At 41.1% G+C, this 14,722-nt stretch overlaps 3 annotated features.

Moving 5' to 3' along the window:
* Positions 4,716-4,765: an enhancer, noted in NCBI's record as "active region_21868". NCBI's record gives its function as "activates an Ori minimal core promoter by ATAC-STARR-seq in GM12878 lymphoblastoid cells {active_cell/tissue: GM12878}" and the evidence as "EXISTENCE:reporter gene assay evidence [ECO:0000049][PMID:35858748]".
* Positions 10,297-10,591: a silencer, noted in NCBI's record as "tiled region #4891; HepG2 Repressive non-DNase unmatched - State 1:Tss". NCBI's record gives its function as "represses a minimal TATA promoter and a strong SV40 promoter by Sharpr-MPRA in HepG2 cells {active_cell/tissue: HepG2}" and the evidence as "EXISTENCE:reporter gene assay evidence [ECO:0000049][PMID:27701403]".
* Positions 10,297-10,591: an enhancer, noted in NCBI's record as "tiled region #4891; K562 Activating DNase matched - State 8:EnhW". NCBI's record gives its function as "activates a minimal TATA promoter and a strong SV40 promoter by Sharpr-MPRA in K562 cells {active_cell/tissue: K562}" and the evidence as "EXISTENCE:reporter gene assay evidence [ECO:0000049][PMID:27701403]".

A 14,722-nucleotide genomic window follows, 5' to 3' on the forward strand; every position in this document is an offset into this window, starting at 1 on the left:
TTAGGTACTAAAGAAATAAAAAAACCCACTTAACATTAACTGTATTTTCCACAGTTCACCCTTTATGCATTAGATAGAATACTAATTAATGAAATATGAATCCTGTTATAAACTGAATATATGTTCCCCCAAAACTCGTATGTTAAAACCCTAAACTCTAATGTGATGGTATTTGCAGGTGGGACCTTTGGGAAAGTAATTAGGTTTAGATAAGGTCATGAGGGTGGGGCCCCCATCATGAGATTAGTGTCCTTATAAGAAGAGGAAGAGTACAGAGCTCTTTCCCTCTCTGCCATGTGAGGACACATTGAGAAGGCAGCCATCTGCAAGCCAGGAGGCAAGTCCTCACCAGAACTCAACCATGCTGGCACCCTGATCTCAGACTCCCAGCCTCCAGAACTGTGAGAAATAAACATCTGTCATTGAAGCCACCCAGTCTATGGTATTTTATTATTGCCGCCCCAGCTAACTAATGCATAATGCACATCCTCATCTTTAAGGAATCCTCAAGGAATTTTTATTTTCTTATTAGGAGGAGATTAAATTTAATAAAACAGATAACAATTACAGAACAGAATATGGAAAAGAGCTACAGAATTTGATATCATATGTATCAAAGTGATACAAATAAGCAGAAGGAGGTGGGATTCATAGGAAGGACTGAGATTAACATTTATTGGGTATTTTTCTAGCTAGGAAACTGTTTTTTGGGGGGCCCATTGCTTCTTTTTAGGCTGCTAGAAAAGGACAATGGGTGGGTGGATGGGTAGAACAAAAAGGCAAAAGGAACAAACAATGCCCACATATATGGAGGCAATAGACTAAATATTAATATTTTCTGTCTCCAGGAGGTCACTCATTCATATTTAGATTCTTATTTTCATGGGATCATGTCTGGTAAATTGGACTATTCATCTGCTTTGGCAAGCCTGGTGCATTCCTGGGATGCCACAAACATGCCTTCCTGATATTCATGGAGCCGTTTTCTGGTCCAGACGTCACAGGAGAGCCTTGTGGTTCTAGCAAGTTATTTCCTTGTTCTAAGACTGTGCTGTTGCAGAGATGCTAGCAGCCCTACATCCCTCTCTGACCCTTTGTGGAATCAGAGCAGGCCCACAAAGCCCATCTTGGTGTTTTAAGAACTGTGTCTCATACACAGCTCCTCAAGCAAGCTGTCAACTTACCTTATCTCTAGGTAGCTCACTGAATACAGATGGTGTCACCCCAGAACAGCCACTGACATGTCACATATCTGAAGGCATCTTCTTTGTTGCTTATTTCTCGCCCCTCCTTGGAAATGGGCTTGCGTTGTTCCCTTTGCCTTTTTGTTCTACCACCCACCCACAAGCATTCTCTCTTGGCAGCTTGAAAAGCCCTGGCACTCTGAATGTAACTACCAATGGGTGCTCTTCGCCAAGTGGGTTCTGACATCATGTTCTGTTGCCAACAGCCCTGCCTCACTCCAGCTGTTCTGCCTACTTCTTTCCGAGCAGTGTGACACCCACAGAGAAGGGTGGGGTAGAGCTCAGCCTGACAGAGCATCTCTATTTCTGCCCCTGGGCTCTGCTGGAGGCTCTTCAATATTGGACATGCACAACAAAATATGTACACATGACTGTGCACTGAGCACAGGGCTTTTGCAGAGTGTGGGCTAATCAAATGATCAGTTTGCTTTGTGGCTTGGGACAGAATGAAATCTTGTTAACTGGTGTCACAACAAGACAAAATAGACATCAAAGCCTGAGGGGTATGGCCACAGGGTGAAGCTACCTACTCCAGTCCACAGGGTTGCTTTTGCAGAGTTCACCTGGACATGAGCCAGATGCTTGAGCCTCCCCCCTTGTACATGGTGCTAGGCAAACCTTGTATTTCTTCCCAACTTTTAGCTATGAAACATAAAGCATCTCCATAAAATTAAGGGAGAAAAGTCCTACCACTCTAATATCTTCACTGGTTTAAATTTCATGTAATTACTTTGAGTTCTAACTGCTATGAATTTATTTTTACACAATGTTAATCAACCAGCATGTATTTCCTTCAGGGTAAAGCTCAAAGTGTTGCCATCTAAAGCCACTCCATCAACAAATATGCACTGATCACCTTCTCTATGAAAAGCAGAGTTTTAAATTGGCTTCCCAAAGCCTGATTACCAAAACATTGACTAATCTCCTAAAGAAAAATTGAGTGCACTGAGAAGCTTGTGAAATATATTTTGGATGGCTAGATATGTTGTGAGGTTTTTTTGGATTCTGTAAAATTTTCCAATTCTGAACAAATGTCTTTATGCATCTTAAATCACTAGCCTGGCTCAATCGTAGTTGGTTCTTTGCCTCACCTCAGCTGACTTTGGTGTCCTTCACATTATTGCAGATGACTGAAACACCATCTATCCTTCTCGAGGCTTTGAAACTATTTTAAAGAAAAGAAGGTAGTTTCATTGAAATGTTCCACATTTCATTTATATAATGTCAACTAAAGGTTCTGTAGAGTAATTAATCCTGTTTAACAGTTTTCTCTAGCCAGGTGCCATGGCTCACACCTGAGTAATCCCAGCACTTTGGGAGGCCCAGGCAGGAAGATTGCTTGAGCTCAGGAGACCAGCCTGGACAACATAGGAACACCTTGTCTGTACAGAAAATTTTAAAAATTAGTGGGGCATGGTGGTGCACCCCTGTAGTCCAAGCTACTCAAGAGGCTGAAGTGGGAGGATCGCTGGAGCCCAGGAGGTCAAGGCTGCATGCAGTGAGTCGTGATTGCACCACTGCACTCCAGCCTGGGTAGAGTGAGACCCTATCTGGAAAAAAAAAAATTGAAAACAATTTTCCCATAACAAAGATGTATATTTATTTTAAATACAATATTTTCTAATTTAATGATTTAATGTATTTATTTGTTAGTTTCAGAGAACCTGAAGGCTTACACTGGAAGTCTGTTATAATCACGTTGGTCTTACCTATATGCGACATATGACTAGTAGTCTATCTTGTTAGATGTCCTAAACATGCATAGCTTCCCCACTAAAGAAGAGAAAGCATCAAACTAATAAATGCCTGACTTTGGCAAGTTACCTTATTTATCTAAGCATCAGAATCCTCATCTAGTTCTGGTTGTTGGGAAAATTAAATGTATGGGAGTTGCTTTGAACAGTGCCTGGAACATGGAAAGAATGCAAAGGTGGCTATGAAGATTACTCTTGCTAGGCAGTACCATTTAGGCTTGTGGCTCCAGGTAAACATGTTTCCATCTTCATCCTTTTCCCACTCTTCTCTCATTCATTCATTCATTCATTCACTCATTCAATATTTACTAAGCTCCTTCCATATTTGAGGCCCAGGCAGTGTGGATTAAAAAGTGACTACAACAGAACTTAATGGGAGACACAGCCAGGCAAACAGACCACTTTAATCCATGCCATAAATGCAAAGATGGAGGAAGTATCAAATCTTCAGGAGCACAGAGCGGGGGTTTAACCGGGTCTGTGGTTTCAGGAAAGGCTTTTTGCTTTCTCTGAGATGCAACCTGAAGAATGCTTAGGAGTTTGCCAGCATAAAATGTCAGGGAAAGTCTTTCAGGCAGGTAACCCCAACGCAAATGGCTGAAGTTAAGAGAGAACTTGGTACTTCTGAGTAATTTAAAATAATTCAGTAAAGTTTAAGATTAGATGAACAGGAAAGTTTTTAAAGATGGGTCTGAGGAAACAGACAGGAACTAGATGAGAAAAGGCATTGTAAACCATGGCACAGGGTTTGGAATGTATCTTAAAAGCAATGGGAAGCCATGGGAGGGCTATATGTAAAGCAGCATTGTTAGATTTGTGTTTTGTTTTCTTTTTGGGGTATGAAGTCTCACTCTGTTGCCGAGGCTGGAGTGCAGTGGTGCAATCACAGCTCACTGCAGCCTCAGACTCCAGGCTCAAGTGATTCTCCCACCTGTCTCCCCAGTGGATGGGACTGCAGACACAAGCTACCATACCTTGTGTTTTAGAAGCATCATACAAGATGTGGAAAATGAACTGTTCGAGGGCAACACTGGAGGCTAGGCAGTTAAGTCGGAGGCTGATACAATAATTTAGGAAAAAGATGATAGTGACCTGAGTTATGGTAGTGACAATGAAATTGGATAAAACATATGGGTTAAGTGTTTAGTAGGTGGACTCAGCTGGACTTGGTGATTTATGAGAAGGAGTGGGTGTGGTGACGGAGGAATCAAGAATGATACTCTGGTTTACTGGCTACTGGGGTATTGCCATTCACTCAAGGGAACACAAGGAAGAACAAGTTTAGAAGAAAGATAGAGTTCGGCTGTGGACACAGTGAATTTGAAATGTCCCTGGAACATCTGGAGACACTGAGAGCCCAGAGAAGAGGTCTGGGCTGGTACAATAGATTTAGATGTCATCAGCATATTGCTGGTAATTGAAACCATGGAAGTGGAAAACTAAAGAGAGTGTATAAAAGGAGACATTTTCTAGGACAGAATCCCATGAAACACTGGCACTTAAGAGATGAACTGAAAAAGAGGAATCCCCAAAAGGAACTGAAAAGGAATATCCAAAGAGGTAGAAAAAACAGAAGTATAACAAGTCACTGAAGTCAAGAGGAAAAGGTACTTTGAGAAGAACACTAAAGTCAAGAAAAAACAGTATTTCAAGAAGACAGATGATATTAAATGATACAGAAAATTAAGAGACTCAATATTTATTAGTTTTAACAAGGAGATGTAGGTCTATCTAGATTCCACAAACACACACAGAGACACTTACACATACATACACATACTCACACACTTTAAACCCTCAGATAAGAGGCTAATGTTCCCCTAAGAGACAACAAGGTCTGGTCTCGCTTGTTTTTTTCTCCTACCACCTCCATCTTTTGCAGTTTCTTTGTGACTCATCTGTAGCCCTCAGCATACCAAAAGCAAAAAGAGAAAAGAAACAAGGGGTAGGGTACAACTCGAAAGTTCTGTGACCAAAACTGAATCCATCTCAGTAGTACCCTGATTCTAGCTGGGGCTTTTTGTTTTGGGTTTGGGGGGGGGGGGTTGTTTGTTTGTTTGTTTGTTTTGGTTTTTCTTATTATTGTTGTTGGTTTTGATGCAATCATGGCTTCCTGCAGCCTCAAACTCCTGGGCTCAAGGGATCCCCCCCACCTCAGCCTCCAAAATAGGTAGGACCACAGGTGCATGCCACCACACCAGGCCTGTCTTCCTTCCTTCTTTTCTTCCTTCCTTCCTTCCTTCCTTCCCTCCTTTCAGTTTTTTTTTGGTAAAGACAAGGTCTTGCTATGTTGTCCAGGGTGGTCTCCAATTCCTGGGCTCAGGCCATCCTCCCCCGTCAGCCTCCCACAGTGCTGAGATTACATGTGTGAGCCACTGCATCTGGCAAATTCTAGCTGTTGAACTGAAACTTCCCAATAGAAGCAAGTTATCATTATTTTAAAAGTAAACTGCAGAGATAAAATGCTAACTTGACCACTGAAGTCATGAAGTTTAATTCTCATCTCCTAAGAATTCAATTGACTCCTAGAAATTTTAAGAAGGGAGATCATGGACTATACATTTCAACATTTCAGAACTTTTACTACCAACTTTTGACTCAGGCAATACCATCTAGATAAAACAATAACAACAACAAAAGTACACATAGCTCAATTTCTTTGCTATGTTTAAATGATCACAAATTATTTATTAAAGAAAAAATGCAGTAGGAAAAGCTTGCCACAAAGAAAATGACTGACTTATTCTCAAAGTCCAAGTATAACTCTGAGAAATTCAAATGTATGAAAGACATAATTTCAAGGGGTTAGATATATGAACATTTTTACATTTTCATTTTTTAAACTCCTTTAAAACATATGGTTTAGTTAAATAGGATTTATTTGCAGGGCAGAAGAATGTCACATTATATGACTCACATCCTACCTAAATTTTCCTGTTGGAGCTTTTCCTCTGACAGATGAGTAATCTCATTTTATGTTGGATCAGACCCACAATTTGATACGGAGTTATGGCCTGAAATAGGAGCCAGTTGCTAGCTGTAGAATTCAAATGCTCTCCAAGTACAATATAGTTATCTCATTGCTTTAATAAAAAATTAACATTATGTGGGAAATTTCTGATGGTCTTCATCACTAACGAAGTATACCCAATTTTGATCCTGAAGAGAACCAGAAGTTCCCCTAAATTCCAAAAAATGCAAAGAAGGCAAATACTGTACACTAAATAGAATGAAGAGAGATCCTGCATTCAGCAAAACAGCTGATGCCAATCAGATTAAAGACCTGCACAGAGTAACAGAATCAACATGAGACTAAGCTTCTTCATCTCCCTGCCCCATGTCTCCACCATGAACTCTTCAACCAATCAATGATCTCTTCACTTCCGCCCACTCTCAAACCTTTAAAAACCCAAGCCCAAACTCACTAAGGGGATGGATGTGAGGTTTCCTCCTATCTCCTAGTTGGGCCAGCCCAATGATTAAACCTCTTTCTTTGCAAACAAAAACAAAAAATAGTCAAGTGAGGCTGTTAAAGAAAGAAAGAAAGACAGAAAGAAAAAGAATGAAGAGCTTTATACTGATTGCAGACAAAATTCTAAAACAGGTGATCAGATAGTCTGTAATCATTTAGAAATGTAAGAGGTGACGATTAGGCATCAGCATGGGCTCAGCACAATCGAATTTTACTAGAGAATATAATGGTCCTATCAAAATAGGGTTATTTTTGGAAAATAGATTTGCCAAGCTGCTATCATACACACCAGAGAGCCTAAAAAGATGAAAACTTGAGTTATTTAGCCATAACAGAGTATACAAATATTCTATTGGCTATGTTATAATTTACTATGACTTTGCAAAGTCACTCATTCAACATATATTTATTGAGGGCTTGCCTCATGTCTCACACTGTGCTGAGTGCTTATCTATGAGGTAGAAATTGTTATCATCAAGAGGCAGCAGCATGTGACTTAAGCACACAGACTTGGAACCAGATAGCCTGCATTCAGATCCTGACCTTGTCACTTAAATGGCCATGTGACCTTGAGAAAGTAATTTAATCTCTGCCTCATTTTGCTCATCTGTAAAGTGGAGTGTAAGGGAATTGTGAAGATTAAATTAATAAATGCAAACATCTTAGTACAGTGTCTGGCATGTAATAATTGTTCTATGAGCATCAGCTGTAACAATTCCATTTTCAGGAGGTGCTATTGACAATGTTTGTGTTTCTCTCAAAATAATCCCCTAATAATCCCAATGTTTGTGTTTCTCTCAAAATAATCCCCTAATAATCCCCAATATGATGGTATTTGGAGGTGGTGCATTTAGGAAGTAATTAGGTCTTAGGGGTACCCTTCTAAAAAGAGACACAAGAGCGAGGCTGTCTCTTCACCGTCTGAGAATATAGCAAGAAAGTTGCCCTCCGCAAACCAGTGCCTTGATCTTGGACTTTCCAGCTACCACAACTATGAGAAATAAATTTTTGTTGCATAAGCCACCCACTTTGTGGTATTTTATTATATAGCAGCACGAGCTGCTTAAGACAAGAGGTAAGTAAGATCATGTGTCGAAGACATCACAGTTTCCCCAGCAAAGATCTAAGCCCAAGGCTGTCTGATGCCAAAGCCCATGCCCTGAACCACATCAGAAATGGCATTTAAAAAGTGTGACATTTTTGGCTTTCAAAAAAACATTTGACATCCACTTCTTTCTACTTTTACTTTAATAATGTATCCAGATATGCAAAAGACCTAATGTGTCTGGGAAGCTATTTCTGGGTCTATATGCCGAAACTTTCCTAGAGGCCAGGAAAGTTACTTAGAACATTGGGCTTGCAACTTTGAAGGCTATACCTCTCCTATTTTAAAAGGTACATCATGGCCAGGTGCAGTGGCTCTCACCTGTAATCCCAGCACTTTGGGAGGCCAAGGCAGGCAGATCACCTGAGGTCGGGAGTTAGAGACCAGCCTGACCAATATGGAGAAACCCCATCTCTAGTAAAAATACAAAATTAGCTGGGCATGGTGGTGCATGCCTGTAATCCCAGCTATTCGGGAGGCTGAGCAGGAGAATAGCTTGAACCTCCCAGAGTTCTGTAATTATAGGCATGAGCCACTGTGCCCGGGCCATTTACTTAATTATTGACTCCTCACATTTTCAGGTTTCCTCAAATGCCCCCTCATCAAAGAGGCCTCTCTCCTGATTACATTACTTCACAGTAACTTCTTGGCCACTCTCTCTCACCGGGCTTTACTTTTCTTTGTATCACCTCTCATTACCAGGCACTACTGATAGTTTGTTTATTACTTTTTTGTCTACCTGTCTCTATAATATAGGCTCCAAGTGACCTGTTCTATTTTGTTTACATTATCCCAGTGCTTAAAATAGAGCCTGGCACATAGTAGGTTCGCAAAGAATACTTATATAAATGACTGAATTCTTATAAATTTTTACTTCTTACAAACCTAATTTTTATTAGTAATACTAGAAACAAAAATTAAGGGAAACTCCCATTATCAAACTTTTTTTTTTTTGAGAAAGGGTCTCACTCCGTCACCCAGGCTGGAATGCAGCGGCATGGTCACGGCTCACTGCAGCTTCAACCTCCCAGGCTCAGGTGATCCTCCCACCTCAATCTCCCAAGTAACTGGGACTATAGGTGTGTGCCACCACACCCGGCCAATTTTTGTATTTTTTGTGGGGACAGGGTTTTGCCATGTTGCCCAAGCTGGTCTTGAACTCCTGGGCTCAAGCAATCCTCTTGCCTCAGCCTCATGAGTAGCTGGGATTATAAGTGCACACCACCATACTTGGTGTTAGCAACATCTTGATAACCTCAAATGTTGAAAAAAAAAAAAGGCAAATGGGGATTTTATTTATACTATCATCAAGGTGAGAGTAGTCTAGTGAATTACGAGATTCATAAGTAATGCTCACCTGAGAAGAGTTTGTGCTCAAAGTTGCATTAGTCATCTTTTGCTTCTTAGCAGCCTAAAGCAGCATACACTTATTATCTCATGGTTTCTGTGAGTCAGGAACCCAGGCATACATTAACAGGGTTTGCTTAAGGGTCCCTCTTAAAGCTACAATCAAGATGTCAGCGAGGGCTAAAGTCTCATCTAAAAGCTCAGCATAGGAAGCTCAACAAGCTCACTTCTGTGACTGTTGTCAGGCTTCAATTCCCTTTGAGATATAGATTTAGGTCCCAAATATTTACCTGGCAACTGGCTGCAGAACACCCTCAGTTCCTTGTCATGTGGGCCCCCTGACATGGAAACTTGCTTTATCAAATCCAGCAAGAGAGGGAGTCCGCTAGCATGATCGAAGTTATATTTTCTTATAATCCAATAACAGAAGTGTCATCCCCTTAATGTTGAGGTATTCTGTTGATTACAAGTAAGTCATTCAAGGGGAGGGGATCACATAAGGCCCTAAATATCAGGAGGTATGAATCACTGGGGGCCATCTTAGGGGCCTGTTACCACTGAAATACTATCTCAAAATAATATTATATTGCTTGCTAGAGAAATGTACGCTTCAGCCAGGCACAGTAGCTCACACCTGTAATCCCAGTAACTCAGGAGGCCGAGCTGAGATGATCACTTGAGGCCAGGAGTTAAACTAACCTGGGCAACATAGTGAGACCCATGTCTAAAAAAAAAAAGATAAAGAAAAGAAACGTGCCTACATGATACCACAGTCCAGCCTAGGCTGTCCATGGTCACCTCATGGGAGAGTCAGCATCGTCTGGTGTTCTCCCATTTCTGCTGAAGCTGCTGCCTCTGAAACAGCCTAAGCCTTCCTTGTTAGACAACTTTAGGAAGAAGCAAGCAGGGTAAGAGCGAAGAGATACAAAATAGAAACTTTTCCTCTTAAGTCATTTATTTGAATAAGGAGTTGATCAATGGTATGGGTACAGCATCCCTGGGAGTTGGGCTAATGGAGAGCGGCCAACATAGTACAAATAACGTATTCTGTAAGAGCCTATCCATCAAGAACCAGGGCCACTTTTGCATGTAGAACTCCTCCTATTGCTTGTGATAAAAGCTCAATATCAACCTCACTCTTGCCTGTATGCTAGCTTTGGAATTGTAGTCAGACTTCATATGTCTCTTTGCATTAATGAGCCCTACTTCATCATTATACTTCTAATTGTGTGTCAAGTTAAAGCATGAGAAATTGAGTTTGGATAATCTAATAATAGCAGCTTTATTCTCTATATGGATATCAGATGGCAAAGTAATTAAATGAGGAAAGTTAAGATCCTCACAGAGAGAAAGGCAATAACCTGGTTTGGTGTTAAGAGTGAAGAGAATACACTTGCCATAGAAATGAATTCCCATTTACAAGAAGCAGCACAGAGTACAGTCTCTGGAGTCAGGCTGTCTGGGTATGAATCCTAGTTCTGTGGCTTACTAGCTGTGCAAACTTGGACAGATTACTCAATCTGTCTGTACCTTGTAACATAGGCATCTGTAAAAGACAGATAACGAATACTGGTTCACTGTAACAGATGGACCACACTGATGAGGGCTGTTGATGGGTGGACGAGGTTGTGTATGTGGGGGAAAAGTGTATGGAGACTTCGTGTACTTTCCGCTCAATTTTTCTCTTAACCTGAAATTGTTCTTAAAATTGTCTATGAGTTTATAAAATCATGATGTTAAAATATGCCTCAAGATTAGATTGTCACTGAAAGCACTCCTTCCACAAAGTGAGTGAACAGCAAGTTAGCAAACATTGTAGGGAAGTACCTCCTATTGAACTTTGCTGGCACCAATCACACTGCCTAGCACATAGCAGGAATTCCACCTAACTCTGGAAATCTGTAAGCAGGCAGTTAGCACTGCCTTATGGGAACAGGGGAGTGGAGGACACCTCCCCTCACATTTTGCACAAAACAGACAGGGAATCCTAGAGCTAGATAAGATTGGATATATATCTCTCTCCTAGAAATTTAGATCAGGGCTTCTCCAACTTTAACGTTTATAAGAATCACCTGGAGGGGGCTGGGCACAGTGGCTCATGCCTGTAATCCCAACACTTTGGGAGGCCGAGGTGGGCGGATCATTTGAAGTCAGAAGTTGGAGACCAGCCTGGCCAACATGGCAAAACCCCATCTCTACCAAAAATACAATAAATTAGCTGGGCTTGGTGACACATGCCTGTAGTCCCAGCTACCTGGGAGGCTGAGGCAGGAGAATTGCTTGAGCCAGGAGGTGGAGGTTGCAGTGAGCCGAGATCACACCACTGCACTCCAGCCTGGGTGACAGAGTGAGACTCCCATCTTAAAACAAAAAACAAAAAACAAAAAACAAAACATTACTATTTGAGACTGTCACTACAACAGTTACTACTGTTACTACTTGAGACTGTCATTACAAGACTTACTACTGTCACTACTTGAGACTGTCATTACGAGACTGAACGAAAACGGACGCATGCAGAAATGAAAACTTAAAACAAAAGAAACTGTTTTAAAGGAAGGGACCAGGGGAAAAAGAAGAGGGCTCCTTGCTTCTAGTGAGCAAAGGCAGCAGCCCCTGAGCTTCTGCAGCCCTTCGTATTTATCGGGTAGAAAGAGCAGGGAGAAGGAGGTAACAATTGGTCAGCTGCTTGATTGATCACAGGTTCACGTTATTGCTAACAGGCTTCACATGTGCCTAACCACAAGAAACACCTGTGCCTGGGTTGTGACTCCCCTCAGCATTCCTTCTGGGCGGCAGATGCAGTTTGTCAGTTTGCCAACATCCTGCTTTCATGAGAAACAGTTTGCTGTTTACTCATATAGCCTTCAGTTGTATGCTGAGTTGATCATGACCCTCATTCTTTTGGCCTTCAACATATGCCCTGCCAAAAGGATTCAAATATTGTTAAAACTCTTTGAGAGAAAAACAAAACACAGCTTGCTAGCCTGTTTAGTTCCTCTCTCATAACCTCTATCACCCTCAATCCATCCAAATAAACTCTCATTCTAAGTAAACGCAGTGTGATTACCAAGCAAATGCAGCCTTCTGAGTTCTTCAGTCCCTTTCGGCCAGATTACTGATCCTAAACTCTTCCTATTTATAAATTCCAAAAGGTCTACTGAACAGAAATCATCTTTATCCAAACTCTTGCCACTTTTAAATGTGATCCACTGCCCAGCAGCATCAGCATCACCAGAGAGCCAGTTAAAAATGCAAATTTCCAGGTCTCTCTCTCCTGCCTCCTTCTTGGGCTCACCCAGCTAATCCAGGATAACCTCCCCATTTGAAAACCCATAACTTAATCACTGCTGCAAAATAACTTTTGCCATATAAGGCAACATATTCACAGTTTCCAGAGATTGGAATGTGGAAATCTTTAAAAGAGGCCATTGTTTTGCTTACTATACAACACTATAAGTTATTTACATGACAATTAGTTTAATTCACAATAGCAAATTCCACTTATTTTATTTGTAGAAAACTAAGTGACAACTTTTCTAGATCATATTTATTGCTTAGACATTAAACAATATAATTTCCTACAGATTTCTATCGATGAGCATGAATCTTCTTTTAATAGATGAGAACAAATCCAAGGGCATCAGTGATGTGTCCAAGATAGAGCCATATGCATAATCTAAGTGAAATGAAAATGTCCCTTCCCTGAATTATCTTCTAATTTGTTGTATTTTTGATAAGCTGAAAATGGATAATTTTTTATTCCTCTAAATACATTGTAAAGCCTTAATAATAATAATATAGCTTCCTGGACATAACAAATGATATAATCAGAGTCAAAGGAAAAGCTCTTTTCAATATCCAAGGAAGCTAGAGATGGACTGGATAATCTAATGGACTTAAAAATCTATAATTCCCATAAAACATATGCGAGGGAAATTTGCACTACATTTTTTTTTTTTGAGACGAAGTCTCACTCTGTAGCCGAGGCTGGAGTGCAGTGGCGCGATCTCGGCTCACTGCAAGCTCCGCCTCCCGGGTTCACGCCATTCTCCTGCCTCAGCATCCTGAGTAGCTGGGACTACAGGCACCTGCCACTACGCCCGGCTAATTTTTTTCGTATTTTTAGTAGAGATGGGATTTCACCATGTTAGCCAGGATGGTCTCAATCTCCTGACCTTGTGATCCACTCGCCTCAGCCTCCCAAAGTGCTAGGATTACAGGCGTGAGCCACCGCGCCAGGCCTGCACTATATTTGACATATTCAGTTGTCAATACATAAAATCTTTTCAACATATTAACTGATAAGTGGTTTCCCGTTTGAATCTTGAAAAAAAACAAAACAAATGTCTTTGTTAAAATGTAGTTGAAAGTCAAAATTCCCTTAAATAAAAAAATTAGCTAAGTATGGCCAAACAATAAAAAGAAAACATAACACCTTTTTACTTTTTACTTTTTCTGATAATAAAAGCTATTCACATGCCTTACAGAAGATTTGGAAAGTTCATAAAGAAAAAATAGCAAAATGAAATAAAAACCTTTTCCCAAAATCCTATCACTCAGAGATAACCATTTTTAATATTTCATATTATACCCTTCCAGGATAACTTTTGGTACACCAAATTCTATACAGACAAATTGTACAGCAGATATATGGTAAATAAAATGGTAAGCTTTCATTTGTTCACTCATCCACCCATTTTTTTCTTTTTTTTGAGATGGAGTCTCACTCTGTCATCCAGGCTGGAGTGCAGTGGCACAATCTCAGCTCACTGCAACCTCTGCCTCCCAGGTTCAAGTGATTCTCCAGCCTCAGCCTCCCGAGTAGCTGGGATTACAGGTGTGGGCCACCATGCCTGGCTAATTTTTGTATTTTTAGTAGAGACAGGGTTTCACCATGTTGGTCAGGCTGGTCTCGAACTCCTGAACTCAAGTGATCTGCCCACCTTGACCTCCCAAAGTACTGAGATTACAGGCATGAGCCACTGTGCCCAGCCTTTTTTTATTTTTGAGATGGATTCTTGCTCTATTGTTCAGGCTGGAGTGCAGTGGTACAATCTCAGTTCACTGCAACCTCCATCTTTTGGGTTCAAGCGATTCTCCAGCCTCAGCCTCCTGAGTAGCTGCGATTACAGGTGTGTGCCACCATGCCCAGCTAATTTTTGTATTTTTAGTGGAGACGGGGGTTTCACCATGTTGGCCAGGCTGGTCTCAAACTCCTGACCTCAAGTGATCTGGCTGCTTTGGCCTCCTAAAGTGCTGGGATTACAGGCGTGAGCCACCGCACCTGGCCTCCACCCATTAATTCTTTCACCAGATGTGCTAAGTAGGCCATTCATCCTTTGATTCACAAGGTACACTACCAGTCTCAGTGGGTGCTACAAAGGTGAAGAAGACATAGACTTTATACTCTAGTAGAAATGTACTAGAATTCCTTCGGACACACTTTTACAAAGACCAACTCAAATGTATTGGCTCACTAGAATCGCATGGGGTCAGGAAAGGGCATTTCTCCAAGAAATAGAAGGCTGCTGGTCAGACAAAGCAACTGATGTTCAATAAAGAGAATGCACACTCAAATAGTTTGTTGAGAACTAGGTTATTTTTAGACAGATCATCCAGATTAATATGCTGATTCCAACTGATTCTTCTTTTAAGAACAGAAGGTGAGGCCAGGTGCGGTGGCTCACTCCTGTAATCCCAGCACTTTGGGAGGCCAAGGTGGGCGAATCACCTGAAATCAGGAGTTTGAAACCAGCCGGACCAACATGGTGAAACCCCATCTCTACTAAAAATACAA

The sequence above is a fragment of the Homo sapiens genome, chromosome 4 (assembly GCF_000001405.40).
Source record: "Homo sapiens chromosome 4, GRCh38.p14 Primary Assembly".
Taxonomy (NCBI): Eukaryota; Metazoa; Chordata; class Mammalia; order Primates; family Hominidae; genus Homo; species Homo sapiens.